Source organism: Homo sapiens, chromosome 14, assembly GCF_000001405.40.
Source record: "Homo sapiens chromosome 14, GRCh38.p14 Primary Assembly".
Taxonomy (NCBI): domain Eukaryota; kingdom Metazoa; phylum Chordata; class Mammalia; order Primates; family Hominidae; genus Homo; species Homo sapiens.
The window spans coordinates 46,191,546-46,218,987 of NC_000014.9; the positions used below are offsets into that span (position 1 = coordinate 46,191,546).

A 27,442-nucleotide genomic window follows, 5' to 3' on the forward strand; every position below is an offset into this window, starting at 1 on the left:
ATTTGTTGCAACACTATTCACAATAGCCAGGAATTAGAAGAAACCTAAGTGTTCATCAAGAGATAAATGGTTAAAGAAAATGTGGTACATATACACAATGGAGTACTATTCAGCCATTAAAAAATGAGGTCCTGTCATTTAAAACAACATGGATAGAACTGGCGATCATGATGTTACATGAAATATGCCAGGCACAGAAAGATAAACATCATGTGTTCTCACTTATTTGTGGGATATAAACATCAAAACAAATGAACTCATGGACATAGCATGTAGAAGAATGGTTTCCAGAGGCTAGGAAGGATACTGGCAGGCCTGGGGGCAGGTGGGGATTGTTAATGGGTACAAAAAAATCCAGAAAGAATGAGTAAGTTCTAGTATTTGATATCACAACGGGGTGACTATAGTCAATAAAAACTTAATTGTACATTTTAAAATAACTAAAAGAGTATAATTGGATTGTTCATAACATAAAGGATAAATGTTTGAGGATACCCCATTCACCATGATGTAATCCCATTTGTCAGTTTTTGCTTTCATTGTTTGTGCTGCTGGGTTATTGTTCAAAAAGCTGTAGCCCAGACCAATGTCTTGAAGAGTTTCCCCAGTGTATTCCTGAAGTAGTTTCATAGTTTGAGGTCTTAGATTTAAGACTTCAATCCATTTTGATCTGAATATTGTATATGGTGAGAGATAGTATTTTAGGTTCATTCTTCTGCATATGGATATCCAGCACCATTTATTAAAGTGACTGTCTTTTCCCCAGTGTATGGTCTCATCACTTTTGTCAAAAATGAGTTTACTGTAGGTGTGTGAATTTGTTCCTGTGGTCTGTATTCTGTTCCATTGTTCTATGTGTCTGATTTTATACCAGTCCCATGCTGTTTTGATTACTATAGCTCTGTAGTATAATTTGAGGTCAGGTAATGTGGTTCCTCCATTTTTGTTCTTTTTGCTTAGGGCAGCTTTGTGTATTCTGGGCCTTTAGTGGTTCCACATGCATTTCAGGATTTTTTTTTTTGTTTCTGTGAATAATGTCATTGGTATTTTAACAGGAATTGCACTGAATCGTTAGACTCTTTTGGGTAGTATAAATATATTAACAATATTGATTGAATCCATTAACATGGAATATTTTTCCATTTGTTGATAGGATGTATCACATTGATTAATTTGCATATGTTGAACCATACTTGCAGTCCAGGGATAGCTCCTATGTGGTCATGATTATTAACTTTCTAATGTATTCTTAAATTCTGATTGCTAGTCTTTTGTTGAGGATATTTGCACCAATTTTCATCATAAATATTGGCCTGCAATTTTCTTTGTTTGATGTGTCTATTTCTATTCTTGCTGACTTCACCCCTTTATCATTACATAGTGACCTTCTTTGTCTCTTCTTATAGCTTTTTTTCATATAATCTATTTTGTCTGATAAAAACACAGATACTCCTGCATTTTTTTGGTTTCCATTTGCATTGAACCTATTTTTCCATTCCTTTATTTCTGCTTAGACGTCATGGGCTACCATCGGCTGACCCATCTTACTGTGATGAAACCTGTTATCTCTTATTGTCTCACTTGATATGACACATATCAACTAGCTCCCACATTTTACATGGCCAAAAGGGAAAAAAATACTTTAATTTGCAATTTTTTAAGGCTTACACATTTACTTTGCATTTAATGCAAAGATAGAGTTTCCAAAAATGTAAGAACATAAGCCTGAGAAACCTGAACAGTTTATGCCTGATATATACATATATATAAAATTTTAATTTTATATACATATATATGTATATATCATGCATATATAAAGGCATATATATATATATACCTTGTATTTTTGTTGCTGCTTTTTTAAATACAAAGGGCTGGGTAATTTTTATTCTTTTACTTACCAGTATCTTCCACAGTGACAAATGCTAGTTGAATTATACTCACAGTAGTTTGAATTCTAATCAAACTAATCAAAATTAGTTCATCCATTTAAGTAACAATTCTAAAGATGGTGAGGATTTTCCTCTCATTATTAAAATGTTTCTGTCCCAGAAAATGAGAAATGAGTTTCTGGTATTATGAAACCTTTTTGTTTCAAGTGTTCTCCTCTATAATTACAGTGATTCATTACATATTTACTTCCATTTGCATTTGTCAGTAAATGGAAGACTTACTGAGTTATTGTGATATGTGAGTTAACCAAGCCTTAGACATGCATGATAAGTTTATTTTTAATTTACACATTTGTAGGTAACATTCTGTGCATTTCTCCCTCCTAGTATTTGTAGACACAGTTATGGTATCTACTGGTTCTTATTTAATAAGATAATAACATGATAATTGCTACTTTAACTACTTGGCACAATTTGGCATTTCTGAGCTATTTATACTATCATTTGGGGGAAATAACAAAAATTTGACTAAAATATGTTTAATTTGCATTTCTCCTTGACATTAAAGAAGGTTATAGTTTTATCTGTAGTACCTTAGAATATTTTCTTTTTTCTGTTCTCACAAATGAAGTAGACCTTTTTCGATACCTTCCTTTAAAAATGCAAATTAGTTAACAAACAGTAGTTCAAAAGTTAGATACTGAATCCTTGCTAATCTTTCTATTCTTTGCTCTGGAATATGAAAAAATTTCTCCAAATGGAATTCTGTACTATCTCCCAGCTGCTTATAAAAATTATGTCTATGCTTCTAAAAGTTCAAAACTATTCTCTTTCTGAAATATCTTTCTAAGTTTTTTAAAGGCTTACACATTTACTTTGCATTTAATGAAAAGACTGAGTTTCCAAAAAAGTAAACTTGAGAAACTGTTTAGGTTGAAACTAAAATTTACTTAAAATTCTCTTATTTATTTATTCTCCAGACTAACAGGAAATGTTCTGTTAGGCAGAAGGAAAAAAATTAAAAAAAAAAAAAAACAGAAGCGTATTTATCCACAAAAGTCAAGACAAGAAAGTGTTTTAAGGAGAATGTTGTCACCTGTGTCCAATACTACTGAGAAATCAAGTAGAAGGTCAATCTTTAATGGCCATGATTTGGCAAAATGGAAGAGTTGTTAGTGACCTTGCAAAGAGCAGTTTCAGAGGAACAGAAGCATAATCAGAGTGAGTGAGAAGAAATAAGTGAATCACTGAATACAGACAGTCCCTTGGGTCAGTGGAGCAAGTGGAGTCAAGGGAGTTTGCTTTTGTTTTTGTTTTCTTTGTTTATTTGCTTGCTTGTTTTAATAAAAGACAAGCCAAAATCGGCTCTAGTTTTGGATCATATGTGCCATCCTTGTCTGTATCACACTGAAAAGAACACAAGGACCTCAAAGAAATTGGTTGCAACTGGACTCTGCTGTTAAATCTGTCATCTTAATTATGATACATTAATTATAATGATTATATATTATAATTATGTATTATGATTATTAATTATGTATTATGATTAATTAATTGTATCTTAATTATGATACATTCCCTTAATCTCATGTAAAATGACAGGGTTAAATGTCTATATTCAACATTTAATGAACCTCCACATTGACATCATTTGAGATTTTGAAATTAGATGTGCCAACTCACAACTCTGTCAGTTACTTTATTTTACTAAATCTCAAGAGGTTTCAAGACCTTTGCTGAAGTGAGGCAGGAGGTAAGAGAATGGAAGTTTTGAGAAAAAACCATTTTATATAAGACTGATGTAAATAGGTTTCCTCAAGTGAACTTTCGGGTTAAAGGATGTAAACACTAGGGCTACTGAATACAGATGGCAAATTACTCACTCAAAATAATGAACACTTTGCTTGGCAACATGTAGTGAATGAATCTCTTTAAATCATATAATAGTTAATACAGATTATAATTATCAAAATGTGTTTTAATAGCAACAACATGTTTTTCCTCTATGAACTTATGTATGTTTGATTACTAGTGTGGCTGATATTTTTCTGTACATGAACCATCTATTGTCCTCCATGTAAAAATTAAAGATTCATATTATTTGTCCATTCCTTTAGGGTTTTAACATTTTCCTTACTTATTTAATGAGGTCTTAATATGCAAAGGCTATTTGCTGAGCTGTCCTCTCAAATTGGTTTGAGATAATTAACTATTAACAATGGGCTGTTGCTTTTAATGAATAGGTACTCATTAAGATGATGTACAAGCACCATACAATGTTTCTTCTACAAAACAGAGAAATTTCTTTCAGATCTGAAAAATAAGAAAAATTGTGCAGCCTCTGAATGGTCGATATATTTTTATCTACTGGATATGAATACTGAAGCAGATTGATTACTCTCATTTCTTTAAGAAGCTAAGAGTTTAACTTATGGACTGTCATTAGTTATTGCATAGAATATTATGGTATTTTTCTTCTGATTCTATTTTTAGGATTAGCATATTTTCCATTAACTTCAACCTTTCAATTTGCTACTCATTATCTGTTGTAATAATATGCATATTTCTATAAGTCATCTCCAATCCTGTTTTGAAGCAATGAAGGGTATAACAAAAACTGTAATAAACTAAACAAACCATTTAATAACTTTATTCACTAGTTACTGCTGAAACTTTTTCTCATTTAAATTTTTTTTTTAAATCTTATAATGAGTTATATTTCAGGTATCAGTTTTGCTCTATGATATTTTCCATTCTTTTTTAAGCTTAGAAAGTACAATAAATCAAATGAGCCCTGACCATTTAACTTGCATAGATAAAAAGATGAGAGAATACAAAATGGGCCTAAGGTTTTTCCATTCTGTACTGCCTTTCTACTTGCAGTAACTTAAAATATGCCTAGATCATAAGACTCTTGAACTTTACTCCATATGAATGCACAGTGTCTTTGAAATCGTGGGATTTGGCAGTTAATGAAAACATGGTTATAAGTAATGAAAAACCCAATCAATATCAGCCTAGACAAATAGATTTTTTTCTCCACCTAAAATAACTGAGTATTTGACATCTTTGTGAAATTTTTTGGCCTTTCCCTCATAGCTGCAAGATGGTTGTTGCCACATCTCCAAATATAAAATCTACATTCCAGAAAGGAATAAGTAGAGTGACAGAGTAGTACCAGCAGTCTTCTGCTTGAATCTCAATGGACAGAACTCTTTTACATGGTCACCTTGAGCTAAGAGACAAGTGCTGTCTTCTTTAGTCACATAGTGGAGTTGAGTGCGACAAAGCAGGGATGCTAATGAGAGTCAAATGATTATTCTTTAATATTTGTATGTGAAACCACTTTCTAAATCTAAGTTAATTACCCCTTCTCAATCAGATTATAAACTCATTTAGGATTGGTTCTATTCCTTTTTGTTTTTCTCTGTAAGAATATCTAGCAAAACGCATAGAATTAATATTTTTAAATTATCTATTTAAATTTTCAGGATAAAAATAACTACATTATTGGTTTTTGTTAAGTCTACACTCTAATAGGGAGTCATAACCTAATTTTATAAAATCTCTTCATGGTAGTTGTGTTTGCTACCTGCATTATAACCACAAAATTATTTCCCTCAATAGATGAGAATGGGGTCATATCTAGGTCCCAAACCAAGCTTATTGTTTTAGAGCTGTGTAGAAAATTAGATTACCGGTTGCATTAGTTTCCATTGCTTAGTAACAAATTACTCCAATTTACCAGCTTAAAATAACACCAATTTATTATCTTAGTTTCTATGGGCCAGGACTCTGGATATGAATAGCTAGGTCCTCTGCTCTGGGTCTTACTGTGCTGAAATCAAGGTGTCAGGCAGGGCTATAACCCCATCTTGTTATAGTACCCTGGACCTCTAGTTTTTTGGCTCTCGTGTAGATATTAGCACTAAGCCAAAGAAATGTTTCTCAGGCAAGGCTTAATAGGCATACGGCTGGAGCAATGCAAGAGAGCAGCATTACAGGAAAGGGATCCCGGTGCTAGCTCCCGGAAAGGCTAGGCTCTTGTCATTTTAAGGAAGCTGAGGCGGGGGAAAAGAGCCACATGTGCATGTTTACGTGGGTTCTTCTCTGTGCCTGTGTTGTGAGGCTTCACGCCCTAAAGTGCGTCCCATGCACAGAAAAAGGATAAAGCCTAGGGTGGATAAAGCCCCGCCTTAGGTGGGCTCAGTATTACAATAAGATTATAATGAGAAGAAAGTCAGTCCTGGAGTTCTCGTCGCCTGCCAGCCAGATCTGGTCAGGTTTTTATCAGGAAAACCAGAGTCCCGATTCAGCAACCTGGAAGACATTACTCAAGGAGATTAACGGTTAGGTTCTTCCTTTTATAGTTAGAAATTCGGCTTGGTCAGCTAAGTTGGGAAGGCGGCTTTCTGCTACGTGGCTTAGGTCAGCTTAAGAGAGGCAAGAAGGTAGGGCAGAGAATATGCCCGGACATGTGAGACCTACTGGGATTCTGATCATCATGTCTCTTGTCTGCCAGGACCGACTCTTATCCCTACAGTGTTACTGGATGTTGGTAGAATTCCGCTACTTTTTGGTAGAATTCCATTCCTTGTAGTCATAGCTCTAAAGTTCCAGTGTTGTTGCTGGCTGTTGAGCAGAAACCAAACATCCATCCTTGCCACATGGTCTGCTCTTGAAGAAGAAATTCACTTCTTCCAGGACAGAAGTAGCACATCTCTCCTGCTTTTGTGCATCATCTCTCATTTTTGGAATCCCTCCACTGCTTCTAGTCTCCTTTTAAATGGCTAATTTGATTACCTCAGCTCCACTCAGGATAATCTCCCTTTTTAGTAAATTATAGTCAACTGATTAGAAGTCTTAATTACATCTGCAAAATCCGTTCTCCCTTGGCAGATAACTGAATCACGGAGTGTATCCTACCTGTGGTATCCTATTCAGAGACCTGATTCACACTGAAAGGCAGTGAGTTATACATGAGCACTAGAGGCTGGCACCATAATTGTGGGTGCCCTCTTAGAATTCTGCCTAATATACTAATAAACTTTAATGCTGTTTTTAAGAACTGATTATGAAGCACAGAGTTAGAAAAAGTTTAAAAATGTAACAATTATGTCTGAGGATCTAGAGAAGTTTCTCAGCTAATTTAAGGATTTATTTGGACATGAAATGTTTTTAAGTGTGATGAGATCAATTTTATTAAAATCAGACCAACTCCATTGTCTATATTTTTAACCACTATAAACCAGTTTTTCCATACCATGTGAAAACAGCATGCTCACATAAAAATTGTTCAGTAAATATTACCTAAAATTATTCTCTTTACTGATGGATTAAAATATGTTTTCTATTTGGCACCATTGCATGTTTTTGAATGTTGGATGACTAGCATTTTGTTAATGCAGTGATTAAGTACAGCCATACTGCGTGGGTGAAAATGAGCTTTGCAGAGAACTGCAAAATTGTTTGACTTCTTGTACTTTGAAGAGTGTCAAGAGAAATCGAGCTGATTACAAATTGACTAGGATTGAAAAAATTTTATGCTAAAAATGATTTTTTTCAGAGAAATCTGATGAATCATTCCTTAGTGGTTTTTTAGGACATTCTGCTGTTTTAGCAATCACATTTATTCTCAGGAATCTCCTCTGCTCTTGTGAACTTTCATTATATGACACTAATTACATCAGTTAAGAAGAGATGCAGGCAAAAAATTGGGATGTCATTTGGGAGAATATACGTGTCTTGTGTTTTGATGGTACCTATGGTCTTTACAAGCATCTATGCAGAAAGAAAAAGAAACAGCTTATTAGTTATGATGAAAAAAGTTATAATCTTGCTATTCATCCTGACTCTGCCCCAACTACCCCTGACAAATTAGACAAATCTGACCTTTTAACAACATTCAAGAAAAAATGACCTCTAAACCCCATTATATACTAATGTCTAGGTAGTACTGTGTGCTGTGTATTTAAGATAGTTTTTAAAATTTAATTAAATATATGGACTGTATGAATGTTAAACCTTTTGTTTTAAATTTTCTTGTTGATTTTTAGTTACACCGGATTTTTATCTTCTTTTTAGATGCAGAAATGTGATAACGTTATGTTTCTATTCTTTAATTTGGTGAGCTTTGAGTAAAAGAACTATATTTTTCACCATACACACACACACATACACACACACACACACACACACACATATATATATATATAATAACTGAAGTCATGGCATAGGGTTAGAGAAAAATGGAAGTTCATCCAATTTAATTTTTTATCAGTAAATTTTTACCTCATTAATCCATTTATATATTCATTAATAGACTTATTGAAGGGAAAGCCAGGTAGCTCAGATTGAGGATAGAATAAATAGGGTATCCTACACTTATAAGCAGTATCTAGTTTTTGGATGCAATAAATCCTTGGCTTTTAATTAAATTATGGGATCCAATTAAAATTATCATATGTATAGATATCAGCTATTCATAAATTCATAATCCTTTTTGGATTCTACAACTAGAATTTATAATTTTATCTTTTATGTTTAGTTTTATTCTTGTTTTAAACTACAATGATTATATAATTCCAAACTGAAAAAAAAAGTTGGTTTGCATATTTACTTCCAGGACTTTCAATAGTAAAAATGTCTCTTGTATTACTTCTCTCATGGTTGCGAAAGAACAACTTTTCTTGTTATCAATGGTATTTTATTTAGAAATATGGTATTTAGAATAAATGTAATTTGTGATTTGTATTTTCTCTTTTTATTATTTTGAATTTGGAACAATTGAGATGCAAGTGGGGATTATGGAGATAGGAATATTTTTAAGCTTTACAAATTAAAACTTACAAAGTTGCTGTCTTTGACTTCCCAGTAGTATACTTCCTTTTTCAGTTATGATTTCTTCTGACATCTTAATGTTCTTTGCCAAACCCTTTAGAAACCCATGGTGATATTTATCAGGTGACTTGGGTTAGAAATCTTTTATTATATTCCAGCTTCAGCCTCTAACTCCTTGAATGACCTTGAGAAATTAATATTCTTCCTACTATCTGTAACGGTAAAAAAAAAAAAAAAAAAAAAAAAGTAACTCAGAGGGAGGTTCTGCAGCTTCATTATAATTATGATTCATAATAAAGTCCACTGAGATATCTCAAGAAAAGGCATTGTACTAAGACAAAATAATATTATAAAACTCTCCGGAGTCTTCATTTGTATGTTATTATTTACAAACTTCAACAGAATTATACTTCAGTGTGCCTATAGGGTCTCTGATGTTTTCCTTTCAACCAAAACTTTTTCTCTTCATAATAAATGTTTGCTAAGCCGTGGATTCCTTGAGGAGGAAATGGAATGACTCAAAATTGTTAATTAATGCTCATGAATTTTAAACTACCTTCCCTTTATGATCAAATTGGGAAGAGTTTAAGTTTAAAGTATTAAGATATCTAGTACATACTTACAGTAAGTTTGCATAAATTATCTCATTCAAATCACCATACTTTTAAATTTTGATGAGGCATTAAAGAGACTTGTCCAGGGTCACTCAGCTATGCTTTTGCATATTTCTACATACGCAGTTTTGTTTAAAGGGTATAGTCTAATGTCTAGCATCTGAGTACTAGTTATTATAGATCATCTCTGTCAAAATACTTGCTCTGCCACCTATACTTTGTGACTTTGGGAAACATAAAATAGTCTATACCTTAATGTCCTCATTTATAAAATGGAGAAAATAGAATGTATTATTAAATCAGTTAAATGAGATAATACATATAAAGCTCTTAGTGTTTGGTGCATAATAAGTACTGAATAAACGTTAGCCATTCCTACAGGGCTGGTCATGGCTCTATTCTCATATGCAAGTAGTCTTTGTTGATTAAAATTAGAGTTAGCATCAATTGGGTGAGGGTATTTTCATTTCTAATTTTATTTATGTTTATAAAGTGGGTTTTTTCCTGTTATAAAATTAGTCTATTCTGGGTTTAAACTTCTTCCTTAGGGTCTTTAGTATTATATAATCTCCACTCTCATATTTATGGATATGAGTTACATTATTCAAAGTGAAACTTTCATCTAGACACTTATTAATAACAAGTATAATAATTAATATTTATTGAGCACGTGTTATATGCAAGGGATATTTCCAAGTACTTTTGGTTAACCATTTATTTCATTTAATTATCAGGACAACAATAATGTTGGGTATTACTATCATTATCTCTATTTAGAAATTTAAGAAAAAAAAACAACTAAGAATATCAGAGATTGGCTGAGGCCACTTAGGTCTTATGGGACAGAGTTAGAGTTTGATCTCACATTATCTGACAAACCCATAGATATATTTTACTCTCTATATCTATATTGTACTCTCTTATATCTCAGCTGAATGCCCAAGCAGAGGAGAAAAACATAATTTAATAAGAGTAAAGAAGGCCTATGATAATTATGGGACACTATAAAACAAACTGACCACGGCATAATAGAAATTCCCAAAGGAGGTTAAAGAGAAAAGGGTCTAGAAAGCAAATTTAAGAAAATAATGGGTTAAAAATTTTCCAATTCTGGGAAAAGATGACATCATCCAGGTACAGGAAGCTTAGAGGATACCAGTCAACAAATTCAACTCAAAGAGAAAATACCCAAAGCACGTAATAATGAAATTAACAAAATTTATAGACAAATGACGAATACTCAAAGCAGCAAGAGAAAAGAAACAACACATGTAACAGAGCCCCAGTATGGCTTTCAGTGAATTCATCAGCAGAAACCCGGCAGGCCAGGAGAGTACACTTTAAGTTACTGGAAAGAATGTAAGTTAGTACAACTAATATGAAAACTGGCATGGAGTTTCCTCAAAAAACTAAAAATAGATCTGAAATATACTTCAGCTATCCCCTGGCTGGGTATGTATCCAAAAGAAAGAATTTCAGTATTTTGAAGAGATATCTGCACTCCTATGTTTATTGCAGCACTATTCACAATAGTTAAGCTACAGAATGAAAAAAAGTGTCCATTAATACATGACTGAATAAATAAAATAGATTGTATGTTCACATCGAAGTATTAGTTTGCCATAGAAAAGAATGAGATCTTGTCATTTGCAGCAACATAGATGAAACTGGAGGATATTATGTTAAGTAAAATACGCCAGGCACAGAAAGACAAATATCGCATGTTCTCACTTACAGGTGGAAGCTAAAAATAAAAAAGGTTGATCTCATACAGGAAGAGAGTAGAATGATGAATTATCATAGGCTTGGAAGTTTAGGAGCAAGAGGGATGAAGAGAAGTTGGTTAATAGGTACTGAAATGAATTTCAATAGAAAAAATAATTTATATTGAACAATAGGGTGACTGCAGTTAACAATAATTTATTGTATATTTAAATAACTAGAGGAGAATATTTGAAATAGTCCTCATAGAAATAAGTGATGGATATTCTAATTACCCTGTTTTGATCATTACACACAATATGCATGTATCAAAATATCACATGTACCCCATAAATATGTACAATTATTATGCATCAATAAAAGTCTCAAAACTGGAGGAAATAGAAAAATACATGAAGATAGATACTTTACTCGGGAGATTGGGCAGGTTTCGAAGGAAACATGGGGAAGAAGAGGATTAAAAGGAAAGAAATTGCTGTGGTTGATGTCCCTAGTCTCAGATCCTATCCACAATTGCACACTTCACTTAAGACAAAGAAAAATAACCATTATTTGAGTACTTATTACATGTCACACATTGTGTTAAGTGTTTCCTATTCTTTATCTCATTTAGTTCTCATTTACATAAGACAATATTGAAAACAATTCTATGTAATATGTATGTCATTTGTATTATATTTATTAGGAAACAGAAGATATGAGAGGTTAAGTAATTTGACTAATCACACAACTTGTATAGGGCCTTAAATACACATAAATCTTCTTATGCTAAACATTGTTGATTAACTAGTAAGCAATAATAAGAGGGAAAATAGAATGGTTCTGTTCTAGACAGTGCCAGGTAATTCATCTACCTGATTGAGCTGGATATTGTCCATAGAGTAAGAATAAAGCTAAGGAGTTGAAAAGAGAATATCTGGAAGGTATTCCATTAGAAGAGTGATAAAAGCAATGTAAACTAGTTAGTTGTATGTACTCTTTGGTTTAAAAATCCTTATAAACGTATTTTCCCATATTTTTATAGTAGGTATAAGACACCTATAAAGGTGTCTAATGACTGTTAATTTCTTCACTTGTGAACAATCTGACTCCCATTCAAAACAACCATGTATGGTCACAGCAACAACAAAACACTAAATATTGATGCTTATTTAATACCTTGTTTACATATAAATATATATGATTTATAAGTGTTAAACTATGCAGTACTGTGGACAGTGAATTAAAATAAAAATAGTTATAATTGCCACAAGAAAAACAATAGTAAAACTCAGAAATATTTTTATTATTTATGAAACTTTGTATGTGTTCAATTATTGCTGATATTAAAGCCAAAGAAAACTAAATATTATCATCTTTCAGCTGGCATTTGGAAGAAGAAATTAAGTCCATTCCTCAGAAAGGAGAACCATCATTCTCTATATAGTCTACATGAGTATTAAGCTTCTGAGGGCAAAATTATACTTCTTTCCTTAAGATATCTACAGTAACTCTTACACTACTTGAAAAAATGTATTTGTGGGCATATTATTTCATAACATCACCAATGTTATATATATTTTAAGTGAGGAAACATAACTTAGGGAAAAAAGGTAAATGTTCAGCACCATAAAATAAATATTTCTCTGATGTGTAATTAGTACTATGCCCTTCATTGTTATCTGAGACTAAGAAATACAGCTATGGAAAGTACATCTATTTTATATAGATACAAGGGCTTAATGAACATTTAAAAAATGGAGGTTTTCCCTATTAAAATGCTTATAAAATGGATATTATTTGTAGAACATTTCAATATTAAGCTAGAAAATATAAAAATAGGAAATAAAATTTTAAATATTTTGGCTGAGAATATTATTTACAATGCAAAATATTTCCATTAATTTGAATATAAAGGTAATATCACAAATCTTTTTCAAATATTATGCAATAGTCAGCAATGAACACAGCCTTTTTAAATGCTAAAACAAAATGTGTAGTGTAATGCAAGCTCTATTGGTCTAAATACGTATGAATAAATAAACTTAATCAAGGAGGTGAAAAACTTGTACATGGAAAACTATGAAATATTCATGAAAGAGACAAGGAGACACAAATAAAATATCCATTGTTATGAATTGGAATATTTATTGTTAACATATTTATACAACCCCAAATGATCTACAGATTAAATTGTATCCACATCAAAATCCCAGTAGCTTTTTTACAGAAATAGAAAAAAAATCCTGAAATTCATATGTAACCACAAAAGACCCAGAATAGCCAAAGTATATTGAGAAAGAAAAACAAAGCTGGAGATATTACACTTGCTGATCTCAAAATACATTACAAAACTGCAGTAATTAAAACATTATAGTATTGGCATAAATACAGGCATACAGACCAATAGAAGAGAATAGAGAACCCAGAAATAAAGTTGCACATGTGTGGTCAACTTATTTTCAAGAAAAGTGCCAAGAATACTCATCGAGGAAAGTAGTTTCTTTAAAAATGGTGTTGGGAAAACTTGATATCCACATGCAGAAGAATGAAATTGAAACCTCTTACACTACCCACAATTATCAGCTCAAAGTTGCATGAAAGTCTTAACTAAGACTTGAAACTGTAAAGCTGTAAATCTCCTAGAAGGAAACATAGGAGAAGTTCCTTTTTTTTTTTTTTTTTTTTGTTTCTCTCTTGTTGCCCAGGCTTGAGTACAGTGGCAGCGATCTCAGCTCACTGCAACCTCTGCCTCCTGGGTTCAAGCAATTCTCCTGCCTCAGCCTCTCAAGTAGCTGGGATTACAGGCATGTGCCACCACGCCCGGCTAATTTTGTATTTTTAGTAGAGATGGGGTTTCACCATATTGGCCATGCTGGTCTCAAACTCCTGACCTCAGGTGGTCCGACCGCCTCGGCCTCCCAGAACGCTGAGATTACAGGCGTGAGCCACTATGCCTAGCCAAGAATTTCTTCTTGACATTGGTTTTGGCAATGATTACTTGGGTATGACCCTACAAGGACGGGCAAAACAGCAAATTAGGCAAATATGATTATATCAAACTGAAAAGCTTCTGCACAGCAAAGGAAACAATCAACAGAATGAAAAGACAACTTGCAGAATGTGAGGAAATATTTGCAAGCTATATACCTGATAAGGGGTATATTTCCAAATTATATGAGTAATTCCTACAACACAATAGCATAAAAACAACCTGATTAAAAAAGGAGCAAAGGATTGGAATAGACATTTCCCCAAAGAAGACATAAAAGTGGCTAACTGGTATTAAAAAGATACTCAGCATCATTATTTATCAGGAAAATGCAAATCAAAAATCAAACCTACAATGTGATATCACCTTACACCCGTTAGGATAGCTATTAACAAAAAATACAGGTGTTGCCAAGGATGTGGAGAAATTTGAACCCTTGTACACTGTTGGTGGGGATGCAAAATGGTGCAGGCACTATAGAAAACAGTGTGGAGGTTTTTCAAAAAAATTAATAAGTAGAACTACCTTATGATCCAGCAATCTGGATCCAGCAATTGAAATCAGACTCTTAAAGAGACACCTGCACCCCCATTTCCATTGCAGCATTAGTCACAATAGCCAAGACATTGAATAGCATGCATCAATGGATAAAGAAAATATGTTGTATACATAAAATAGAATATTATTCAACCTTGAAACAGAAATCTTGCCATTTGCAACAACATTGCTGAACCTGGAGGACATTATACTGAGTAAAATAATTCAGTCATAGAAGGACAAATACTGCATGATTCCACATATATGAGGAATCTATGCTAGTAAAACTCATAAAAACAACAAATATAAAAAACCAGCTCCTGGATTCATTGATGTTTTTGAAGGGTTTTTTGTGTCTCTATCTCCTTCAGTTCTTCTGTGATCTTAGTTATTTCTTGTCTTCTGCTAGCTTTTGAATGTATTCGCTCTTGCTTTTCTAGTTCTTTTAATTGTGATGTTAGGGTGTCAATTTTAGATCTTTCCTGCTTTCTCTTGTGGGCATTTAGTGCTATAAATTTCCCTCTACACACTGCTTTGAATGTGTCCCAGAGATTCTGGTATGTTGTGTCTTTGTTCTCATTGGTTTCAAAGAACATCTTTATTTCTGCCTTCATTTCATTATGTACGCAGTAGTCATTCAGGAGCAGGTTGTTCAGTTTCCATGTCGTTAAGCGGTTCTGAGTGAGTTTCTTAATCCTGATTTCTAGTTTGATTGTACTGTGGTCTGAGAGACAGTTTGTTATAATTTCTGTTCTTTTACATTTGTTGAGGAATGCTTTACTTCCAACTATGTGGTCAATTTTGGAATAAGTGCGATGTGGTGCTGAGAAGAATGTATATTCTGTTGATTTGGGGTGGAGAGTTCTGTAGATGTCTATTAGGTCCGCTTGGTGCAGAGCTGAGTTCAATTCCTGGATATCCTTGTCAACTGTCTGTCTCGTTGATCTGTCTAATGTTGAGAGTGGGGTGTTAAAGTCTCCCATTATTATTGTGTGGGAGTCTAAGTCTCTTTGTAGATCTCTAAGGACTTGCTTTATGAATCTGGGTGCTCCTGTATTGGGTGCATATATATTTAAGAAGACATTTATGCAGCCAACAGACACATGAAAAATGCTCATCATCACTGGCCATCAGAGAAATGCAAATCAAAACCACAATGAGATACCATCTCACACCAGTTAGAATGGCGATCATTAAAAAGTCAGGAAACAACAGGTGCTGGAGAGAATGTGGAGAAATAGGAACACTTTTACACAGTTGGTGGGACTGTAAACTAGTTCAACCATTGTGGAAGACGGTGTGGCAATTCCTCAAGGATCTAGAACTAGAAATACCATTTGACCCAGCCATCTCATTACTGGGTATATACCCAAAGGATTATAAATCATGCTGCTATAAAGGCACATGCACATATATGTTTATTGTGGCACTATTCACAATAGCAAAGACTTGGAACCAACCCAAATGTCCATCAACGATAGACTGGATTAAGAAAATGTGGCACATGTACACCATGGAATACTTTGCAGCCATAAAAAAGGATGAGTTCATGTCCTTTGCAGGGACATGGATGAAGCTGGAAACCATCATTCTCAGCAAACTATCGCAAGGACAAAAAACCAAACACTGCATGTTCTCACTCATAGGTGGGAATTGAACAATGAGAACACTTGGACACAGGAAGGGGAACATCACACACCGGGGCCTGTTCTGGGGTGGGGGGAGGGGGGAGGAAAAGCATTAGGGGATATAGCTAATGTAAATGACGAGTTAATGGGTGCAGCACACCAACATGGCACATGTATACATATGTAACAAGCTTGCACTTTGTGCACATGTACTCTAGAACTTAAAGTATAATAAATGAAAAAAAAAAGTATAGTAGTGGTTGCCAGAGGCTGGCATGGGGGAACTAGGGAGTTGTTCAATGGGTATAAAGTTTGAGTAATGCTAGATGAATGAGTTCTAGAGATCTGTTATAGAACATAGTGCCTATAGTTGAGACAGTGTTGTGCACGTCAAAATTTGTAAAGAGGAGGCACGGGCGCAGTGGCTGAGGCAGGAGGATCCTTTTAACCCAGGAGGCGGAGGTTGCAGTGAGCCGAGGTGGCGCCAGTGCACTCCAACCTGGGTGACAGAGCGAGACTGCATCTCAAAATAAATAAAATAAATAAATAAATAAATAATAAAATTTGTAAAGAGGAAAAATGTCATTTTAAGTGTTCTTAACAAAAAATAAAAACAAAAAATGAAAGCAAAAGAGCACAAGGAAACTTTTGGAGGTTTTAGATACATCTATTACCCTGATTGTAGTGACGGTATCAGGGGTGTTTGCATATGTCCAAATTCATCAAATTGTATATATTAAATATGTACAGCTCTTTGTATGTCAATTATACCTCAATAAAGCTGTATAAAAAAGAAATAGAAGGCAACATTTTCCAGTGGTATCTTTCACTATTTTTGAAAGATTTTGGAGTTTTAATTTTGAAAGAATTTAAAATTTACAGATTTGCTGAAATAATACAAATAATTTCTATATGCTTTTCAGAAAAATGCATTAATTTACCAGTTGTTAATATTTTGAAAGTGAATACACACACTTATATATTATTATGTTTTTCTGAACAACATGCATGTAGGTTGCAGGCATCCAGCCTCCTTACATGTAAGTAGTTTTGAATGCCTTTTCCAAGAATAAAGATGTTTTCTTCTAAACCACAGTAGAAACTTAAGAAAAAAATATGACATATAAAGTTAACTTTTGCCAATCATCCTAATACATGTATTTTATAGAAATTTTATTTCTCTGATCTCTGATGCAATGTAGGATAATGCATTGCATTTAATTGTCATCTACTGCCTAGCTAGACGTGGCACAGGGAGACATTACTTAAATTCTTGAATTTTAACTTGCAGTTATATACTGCTAGGGATGTTTTCTAAATTCTCTGCACTTAAACTTGCAAAGGTATTTCAGAATTAAATGAGAAACTATATGAAAAATACATTTCACAGTGCCAAGCACATAGTTGTTGCTCAAAAAATTGTAGCTTAAGAAAAAGCGATAAATAGTATATGTTTAAAAACTAGATACAAAACACAGTCTTTAGCCTAAATTTAGTGAAAGGCAAATCATTTGCTTTTATTCTTTCCAGAATCCATCTCAATTGACCAAGTGTAAAAAGGTCAAAGTCACTTTGGAAATAAAACACCTTCTATAAAGACACTCTATTTTATTGAATGGTATAGTGCTTTACAGCACGATTTAATTATGTGCTCATAATGGAAAACAATAAAGCTGTACAGCCAGCAAGAAAAGAGTCAAGGTTTCAAGACAGATATTTAGACTATGAGAGAGCATTCAGTATTGAAATACAGAAAAAGGATTAGTCTTGGATAAGAAGAAATTGCTTGAGAATGTTCTTGTGGGCGAAACATTACCTCATGTTTATGTTTAACTCAACAGTTGCCTCAGAAAAGTGAGTTTTAAAATAGCACTTTTATTGATGAGGAGCAGATCCCAAGAGAATACTTTGCCCTAAAGTCTTTCTCCTTTTGCCTTCCTTCCTCCCATCCAAAGTCAGGCCAACCACAGGCATACCAATCACCTGTCTTTCCAAAAGCTTATGATAGCTTGCCCAAGTCAGCCAGTAATTCCCTTCTTTGGAAACAGTTATTGTACTTGAATGTGGTTTTGCCCCTTAACTGTAGCTGGTCTCACATTACTGTTTTATTATTTCATATATTAGGTCTTTTCTCTGTAATTAAATTGTTAGTTTTTGTATAAATTTTTTAGCTCTTATATTTCTTTTGTGTAAGCCCACGATGCTTAGTACAGTGATGAATACTTAAAGGTGCTAAAAGAATACACATGGAATTGGTATTTTTAATCTGTATCTGAGTTTTAACTTTTATCACCCATGTTTCATTGGAGTGTAAAGCCACCTCTTTTGGTCTCTACTTGCATGACACTACTGAATTAAACTGCAAATATATCTGACTGCTTTAGACTTTTAATGACTTGCTACTTCCAATTATTTTGAGATAGAACTTCATCCATTCCTTTTAGTACAGGCAGTAGAAAATGAAGCAGGGAGCTAGAGAGAGTTATCTTTGCTGGCCTTAAGGTTCTCACTTTCCATCTGGAGAAAATTCTTCACCAGGTGTTTTCCCTCTATTCTTCTTATTGCACAGTAAAATTTTCCTCACTTACAGGATTATCTTCTGGCTATCTTGTGTCTGCTCCAAATATTACCATCCCCTCCTCACATTGAAACTCAAGTTGTGGTACCTCTCATTTGTGGTCTTCCTTTCTTACATCCACCTGCATTTCATTCTCAAATACTTTAAATACTTTCTTCCAAAGCTGCCCCTCATTCTTTCATTTTCAGACTACCATAACTAAGCTATTTTTTTTCACTTCATTGGGTTTTGAATGTGCAGACGTATTCATGCTTTTAACATTCCCTATTTCTAAATTTATCATAAGGATATCCTATGGCCTAACACTTCAGCAAAATATGTAATTAATAAAATCAATAAATAAATCACAGAAAGGGTGGAAATATTTGTAAACATATCTAACAGGAGGCTTACATCCAGAATATTAAAAAAAACTCTATGTCTTAGTCTGTTTGGGCTGCTATAATACAAATACCATGAACTAGGAAACTTATAAAAACACATTTGTTTCCCACAGGTCTTGACGTTGGGAAGTAAAAGATCAGAGTGCTGGCAGATTTTGGTGTCTAGTAAAGGACGGCTTTCTAGTGTATAGATAACACCTTCTATCCATGTCCTCACATGGTGAAAAAGGTAAGAGGTCTTCCTTGGGCCTGTTTTATAAGGGTACTAATTTCATTCTTGAGGGTTCTGCCCTCATGACCTAAAAAAACCCCACTACCTAATACTATCACCATGGCAGATAAGATTTAAACATATAAATTTGGGAGAGATACAAACATTCAGAAAATGGTACCCTACAATTCAATAAAAATATTATAAACAATCCTTTAAAAAGATACAATATATGAACAGACCCTGCTAAAAGAAAATTTTTCTTGTTTCACTTATTTATTTTTAATTATCAAACAAAGAAAGTATATATTTATCATGTACAACGTGTTTTTAAATATGCATATATTGTGGAATGGCTAAGTTGGGCTAATTAACATATGCAGGCTTATTTTTTTCTGATGAGAACACTTAAAACTACTTTCTTAGCAATTTTTAAGAATAAAATACATTGCTGTTAACTGTAAGTCACCATGTTTTATAATAGGTCTGTTGAACTTATTCCTCCTATCTAATGGAAATTTTGTATCCATTGATCAAAATCTTTCCAACACCTTCACCACCACACACCCAGTATATAGTAGCCACTTAATATGGTTTGGTTCTGTGTCCCCACCCAAATCTCACGTCAAATTGTAATTCCTGTGTTGAAGGAGGGGCCTGGTGGGAGGTGATTAAATCATGGGGGTGGACTTCCCCCTTGCTGTTCTTATAACAGAGTTCTTATGAGATCTAGTTGTTTGAAAGTATGTAGCACCTCCGCCTTCTCTCTCTCTCTGTCCTGCCAGCCATGTTAAGATGTGCTTGCTTCCCCTTTGTCTTCTGCAGTGACTGTAAGTTTCCTGAGGCCTCCCCAGAAGCAGAAGCCTGTATACTCGGCAGAAGTGTGAGTTGATTAAACCTCTTTTTTTTTAATAAATTACTCAGTATGTCTTTATAGCAGTGTGAGAAGGGACTAATACACAATTAATTGACTATAAATGCATAAATTTATTTCTGAGCTCTCTATTGTTTCACTGGTTTATGTGTCTATTTCCTTTTTTTTCTTATGTGAGTACCATGCTGTTTTGATTGCTATGGTTTTGTGGTATATATTGAAGTCTTGGAATGTGACGCCTCTAGTTTTCTTCTTTTTGCTTAAGACTGCTTTGCTTACCCTAGGTTTTTTATGATTCCATATTAATTTTAAGATTTTTAAAAATATTTTTGTGAAAGATGTTAGTATAATTTTGATAAAGATTGTGTTGGATCTGTAGATTGCTTTGAGTGGTATGAACATTTTAACAATATGAATTCTAATCCATGAACATAGAATATCTTTTCATTTATTTGTGTCTTCAATTTATTTCATCAGTGTTTTTTAGTTTTAGTATAGGTATTTGTCCTTTGTTAAATTTATTCTGAAGTATTTTATTTTTTGTAGCTATTGTGAATGTTTTTCTTTGAACAACTTGTTGTTATAGTAACACTATTGATTTTGTATGTTGATTTTATATCTTGCAAGATAACTGAATTTGTTTATTACTTCTAACAGTTTTTAAGTGGGGTGTTTAGAGTTTTCTATATAAAAAACAGAGACAGTTTAACTTCTTTTTTTCAAGCTTGAATGACTTTTATTTCTTTGTTTTGCCTAATTGCTCTGGCTAAGACTTTTAGTACTATGTTGAATAGAAGGGATCTTAGAGAAAAAGATTTTAACTTTTCTTCATTGAGTATGATGTTAGTTGTGGACCTGTCATATATGGCCTTTACTGTGTTGCAATTCATTACTTTTATTCATAATTTGTTGAGATTTTTTATCATAACAGAATGCTGAGTTTTACCAGATGCATTTTCTGCATCAATTTAGTTGATCATATGATTTTTGTCCTTATTCTATTTATGTGAAGTATCTAATGTATAGATTTTTAAATGTTGAGCCATCGTGTGTCCAAAGAATAAATCCACTTGATTATGGTGAATGATCCTTTATGATCCTTTTAACGTATTATTGAATTCAGTTTGCTGGTATTTTATTAAGACATTTTGCATCTATATTCACTATATTCATCAGGAATATAGGTCTACAATTTTCCTTCCTTTCCTTCCCTCCTTCCTTCCTTCCTTTCCTTCCTTCCTTCCTTTCCTTCCTTCCCTTCCTTCCTTCCTTCCTGCTTTCCTTCTTTCCTTCTTTCTTTCTTCCTTCTTTCCTTCTTTCTTTTGACATGGTCTCACTCTGTTGCCCAGGCTGGAGTTCAGTGGAGTGATCATGGCTCACTGCAACCTTGAACTCCTGGGCTCAAGCGATCTCTCCACCTCAACCTCCCAAGTAACAGGGACTACAGGCATGCGCCACTATGTCTGGCTAATGTTTTTAAATTTTTTATAGAGCTAGGGTATTTCTATGTTGCCTAGGCTGGTCTCAAACTTCAATTCTCCTGCCTTGGCCTCCCAAAGTGCTAAGATTACAGGCATGAGCCTCTATGCCTAGCCCTGTAATCTTCTTTTCTTGTAGTGTCCTTTTCTGGTGTTGGCCCCAGGATAATTTCGGTATCATAAAATGAGTTAGCAAGTATTTATTCCTTAATATGTTGGAAGAGTTTGAGAAGGAATGATATTAGATCTTCTTTAAATGTTTTGTGGTATTCTGTAGTGAAGCCATCAGTCTTGGGCTTTCCTTTGATAGACTTTTTATTAGTGATTCAATCTTTTTATTCATTATTAGTCTGTTCAGATTTTTTCTATTTCTTCATTACTCAGTGTTGGTAGGTTTTATGTGTCTAGGAATTCATCCATTTCTTCTAGGTTATACAATTTGTTAGTGTATAATTATTCAAAGTAGTGTTTTATAATTCATTGTCTTGCTGTGACATCAGTTGTAATGCCTCCTCTTTCATTTTCGATTTTATTTATTTCTCTTCTCTCTTTTTAGTTTAGCCAAAGACTTGTCAATTTTGTTTAATCTCTTCATAAAGTCAGTTTGGTTTTGTTGATCTTTTAATTGTTTTTCTAGTCTCTATTTCATTTATTTCAACTCTTATCTGTTTTATTTTTTTCTTCTATTAACTTTGTGCTTAGTTGATTTTTTTCTAGTTCTTTGAGATATAACATTATATTGTTTGAGATCTTATTTTTTAATGTAGGTGTTCATTTCTATAAACTCTTTTAGAACTGCTTTTGCTGCATCACATAAGTTTTCGTATGTTGTTTTTCCATTTATGTTTGTCTCAATATATTTTAAAATTTCTCTTTTAACTTCTTTGACCCACTGTTTTTTTCAGAAACATGTTAATTTTCATGTATTTTTTAATTTTCCCAAGTTCTTCATCTTATTGATTTCTAGTTTAATACCATTGTGCTCAGAAAAGTTACTTTGTATGATTTAAATCTGTTTAAGTTTGCTAAGACTAGTTTTATAGCCTAACATATAATCTTTCCTGAAGAATGCACACTTGAGAAGAATGTGTATTCTGTTGCTGTTGGATGGAGTGTTCTGTATATGTCTGTTAGGCCTATTTGGTCTAAAGTGAAGTTTAAGTCTCAAGAAACTAGAGTATTGAAGTTCCCTAGAATGACTGAATTAGTCTATCTCTCTCTTGGGGTATAAAAGTATTTACTTTATATATTTAGATACTCCCATATTGAGTGTATGTATGTTATTGTTATATCCTTTTGATAAATTGACAATTATCATTATTTAATGTCTTTCTTTGTCTCATTTTACAGTTTCTGACTTAAAGCCTATTTTAGCTGATGTAAGTGTAGGTACTTCTGCTCTCTTTTGGTTTCCATTTGCATGAAATATCTTCTTTCATCCCATCACTTTCATCTTGTGTGTGTCTGATAGGTGACATGAATTTGTTATAAACAGCCTATATTGGTATATACATATATGTATATGTATATATGTGTGTGTGTATATATATATATATTCAGCTACTGTATGTGTATTGATTGGATAACTTAGTACATATGCTTTCAAGGTAATTTTTGATTTTTTATTACTGCTATTTTGTTAATTATTTTTTGTAGTTTGTTTCTTTTTCTGTTGATGTTTTTCTTTGCGATCAATTTATTTTCCCTAGTAATACACTTTGATTCCTTGCTTTTTATGTCTTGTGCTATCTACTATACGTTTTTGTGTTGTATACACAAAACATTGTATAGTTAGGTAAAATTTTAAAAAATACCTAATAATCATATAAATAAGTTCATAATAGGGAAATACAAATTAAAAGCACAATGAAATATTGCTGAACACGTATTTGTTGACCAAAATAAAAAATACTGAGTACAACATTTTGATAAACATGGAGCAAATATAACTCTCATATATTGCTAGTGGGAGTGTGAAATAGTAAAACTATTTTGCAAAATGATTTGGTAATTTCTTATAAAACTACCCCATGATCCAATTATTCTGTATATTGGTATTTAATCAAGAATAATGAAAAATTTGACACAGAAAATTTACATATGACTATTTATACCAACTTTACTAATGATAGCTCAATAATGGAAATAGCCCAAATATCTATCAATAGGGAAGTAGATACATTTTGGGATATGCATTCAATGGAATATATAGCAATATAAAATGAACTATTGACACGTGACAAAATGGGTGAATTTTAAAAAACATGTTAAATGAAAAGTGATTCAATCTAGATAAAATTTTAAAATAGGTAAAATTACTCTCTGGTGATACAAATAAGATTAGTGGTTTTCTTTAAGGTCAGAGTTTGACTGCAAAAGGGAATGAGAAATTTCTAGGTTAGTAGAAATGTCCTATGTCTCAAGTGTAGTATTGGTTGCATGAGTGTAGACGTTTGTCAAAACTCATGCCACTGTATACTTAAGAGCTGTATATTTTACAATATTTAAATTAAATCTAAATTTAAAAAGACAAATAATTTGTTTAATATAAGAATAAATCCTGTCATAATTGTGGCCCCTGTATTAGTCATAGTTCTCAAGAGAAACAGAACCAGCAGGATATATTAACATGTAGTTATATAGAAAGAGATTTATTTTGATGGGTTGGCTTATGTGATTATGGAGGCTGATAAATCCCATGAGCTGCCATCTGGGAGCCAGAGATCCGGGAAAGCTAGCAATGTAGTTCTAGTCCAAACCAGAGGCCTGAAACCCAGGACAATCAGTGTTATAAGTCCCAGTCCAGTTTCAAGACCTGAGAACCAGGAATACTGAAGCCTGAGGGAAGGTAAAAATCAGAGGTCCCAGCTCAAGCAGACAGAGCAAATTTCCCCTGCCTCCATTTTTTCTTCTATTTAGGCTTTCATTGGATTGGATGAGGCCCGCCTGTATTGGTGAGGGCAGATCTCCACTCAGTCTACCAACTCAAATGCCAGTCTCTTTCAGAAACACCCTCACAGACACACCCAGGCATCCTATAGCCCAGTCAAGTTGACACATAAAATTAACCATTACAGCCCCTAGATTTCAGAGTATACATGAAAATAAATGTAAGGTTCTTAAAATTTTTATTTAGGAGTTTTCTATTGTTTAAATAGCATTTTCCATGTTATGTGAGTATTGATGCATACCTTAAATAAAATTGATTTTATAGAGATTTTATAAAATAGATTCCTCTGGTTTTCTCATTCTCTGCCATTTTCCAACACAGCACTTTATGAAGTAGAACTGGAGCATTAAGATAAAATATATTCAGATGGATAAATAAATGTTTCCTGCTAAAACCTTTACCTTCAGTCTTGTAAGATTCTTTTGTATATTTTCCTGGTGAGCTCTTAGAATAGACCTGTACTCGCTTTCTCTATATATGTAACGCACCCCCAAATCTAGACTCTTTAGCTATCTTTGATCTTTCTCTACATTGTTTCTTTTGTAGGCTATGAATACTTGGCCTCTTAATTTTTTTGAATTAGCTGTACCTCCCTGATTACTCCGTCATCAACTAGTTAAGTAAATCTAAGACATGGATGCTTTACATCTATTCACATAAAATATAATTATATTTTTAACTTTTAAAAATTATATGTTGGCAGCAATAAGAGGGAAATTACTGGAATCTTCTCATTTAAAGGCCATAAAACACAATATATTTTCACCTTCTAAGAAAAAGAAAATATGTAAATACAATGCCAGTAATAAAGTATTCTGTGCCTTGCTTAGAAAAACTGGGAAGTCTGGAGTCAGAAATGTTCATTCATTAGGGAAAATTTAGTTTTCCAGCAGCCCACCTTTCCTAACCTGATGACCCTCTGGGCAAGCTATTCTGCATTTAACAAATGGATATACTTGTTCAGTTTTCTGAACCAATTAACTGGTTTAATTAAAACAGTTTAATTTAGTTTTCTGTTACTTATAAACAAAATAATTCTAACTCTTATGAAACCATGTTTGATCTTCAGTATAACTTTGGAAACAGCCATTTTCTGGACCAGAACTGTCATATCTGGGCATAGGTTATACTTTAATGGCAGGTAGGACTTCTATGGGAAGATGTTATAGAATTCCCCTATAGTTAATTAATTTATTTTGTTTTGTACAAAACTGTAGAAGAATTTGTCTAGTGTTTAATACTTGATTGTTTTATCTTTGATAATGGCTCTAATTAATGTGGCAAGTGTGAAAATAAACCCTATCGTTTCTATAAGAATCTTCATTATCCATATCTCTAAGTATTGATGTAGGTGACTTGTTCATTGAAATTACATTAAAAGTGGATAATATGGATATAACACAACATCAGGTACCTACAAGGAATTATAATATTGTACCAAGAGAAAATGATTGAGAAGTAAGAAAAAATGGAAATGTGATTTTGTTCAAATAACTATAAATGGACAGCAAAAAAAAATACAAGTCCACTTGAATATGAGTAATTTAATATTTTTAGTGAATAAATATATGGAGTCGGAAGAGCATTAAATTCAAATTCTAAAATTCAAACTATGTGGTTCATAGTCAGTTAAAGGGCAAAAATTATTTTTGTTCTGAACTTGTACTTATTCCAGATCGTTTGAACATTTTTACTTCCTGCTTTTTAGGTCAGAGACTATAAGAAAGACAAAAACCATATAAAGGCACAGGAAATTGAAATAGAGAAAACTATTTTTTTTTAATGAAGTAATGAAAGAATACACAAAGGATAATCATTCCCGGCCTTGATTTTTTAAGTGCTTACTATCTCAGTCACGCAGGAGGGAGGTTGTGACATTAAGGACCAAAGCTATTTGCAACAAATTCTTAGCAAGATCACCTTGCTGGAATTATAATGCAAAGACAGCCTGACATACACAAGGTTTCAAAAAGATTTAGTTCCTGTGTTAAAGGGAAATTAAATGGCCTTTTTTTTATTTTTTGATGGATTAGGCTATTAAGTTCTAATAGTGTTCTCTTACTATTTTGAACATTTACTCTTTAGAAAAGAAAACATCTTCAAAAATGCTTAATTCAAAGACTATATTTTCACTTATTCCAATAGAGTTGCCAGTTTTTTCTCTTCTAAATGTTGACCTTCCTCATACTTGCAAATATAAACTCAGTTAAAGAAATGTGTTTAGTAGTAAACTAAAATTAGCAAGAGAATTTACATAAAAACTCTGAAGCAATAAAAATGCCCATCCTCAATAATAAAAATATAATTTAATTTTTAACTTACAACATATAAATCTTTTAAAACCAGACACATAAGGTAAAAAATATTAAACTGCCTCAATATTTAACTTAAGGGGACATTATATGTTCCAAAGAAAATGTCACAGCTTAAAAGATGCATAAACTAGAAAATTCTTATTTGTAGAGAGAATTGTAGGAAAAGTCAGGTTATATTTAAAAGATGAAATACATGGATTACAGCATATCTGATCCATTTATTTGGCTATATTAATGATTGGTGCAGATCACCAATATGATGGTTTGCTGAATAGTAACCACAGTGAAAACAGCAGAAGTCAGTGTGCTGGCTAGGCTTCAATTTTTTAAATATATCTTTGGGGCTATTAAAAATTCATCTTTGTGACTATGTATTTTAAATAATGTGTACTTTAGCCACCGTGCACGACTTACAATGTGTATTCTAGAGGCAAAGACAAAATAACTTT

At 33.0% G+C, this 27,442-nt stretch overlaps 1 long non-coding RNA gene across 2 annotated transcripts in view; it reads left to right on the forward strand.

Moving 5' to 3' along the window:
• Window positions 1–27,442, forward strand: part of LINC00871 (long intergenic non-protein coding RNA 871) — a 437,745-nt gene that overhangs the window by 127,387 nt on the left and 282,916 nt on the right. For both annotated transcript variants that reach the window (NR_102701.1, NR_102702.1), the window contains exons 2-3: window positions 19,279–19,394; window positions 20,202–20,259. This is a non-coding gene — a long non-coding RNA (long intergenic non-protein coding RNA 871). The remainder of the gene's footprint in view (window positions 1–19,278; window positions 19,395–20,201; window positions 20,260–27,442) is intronic.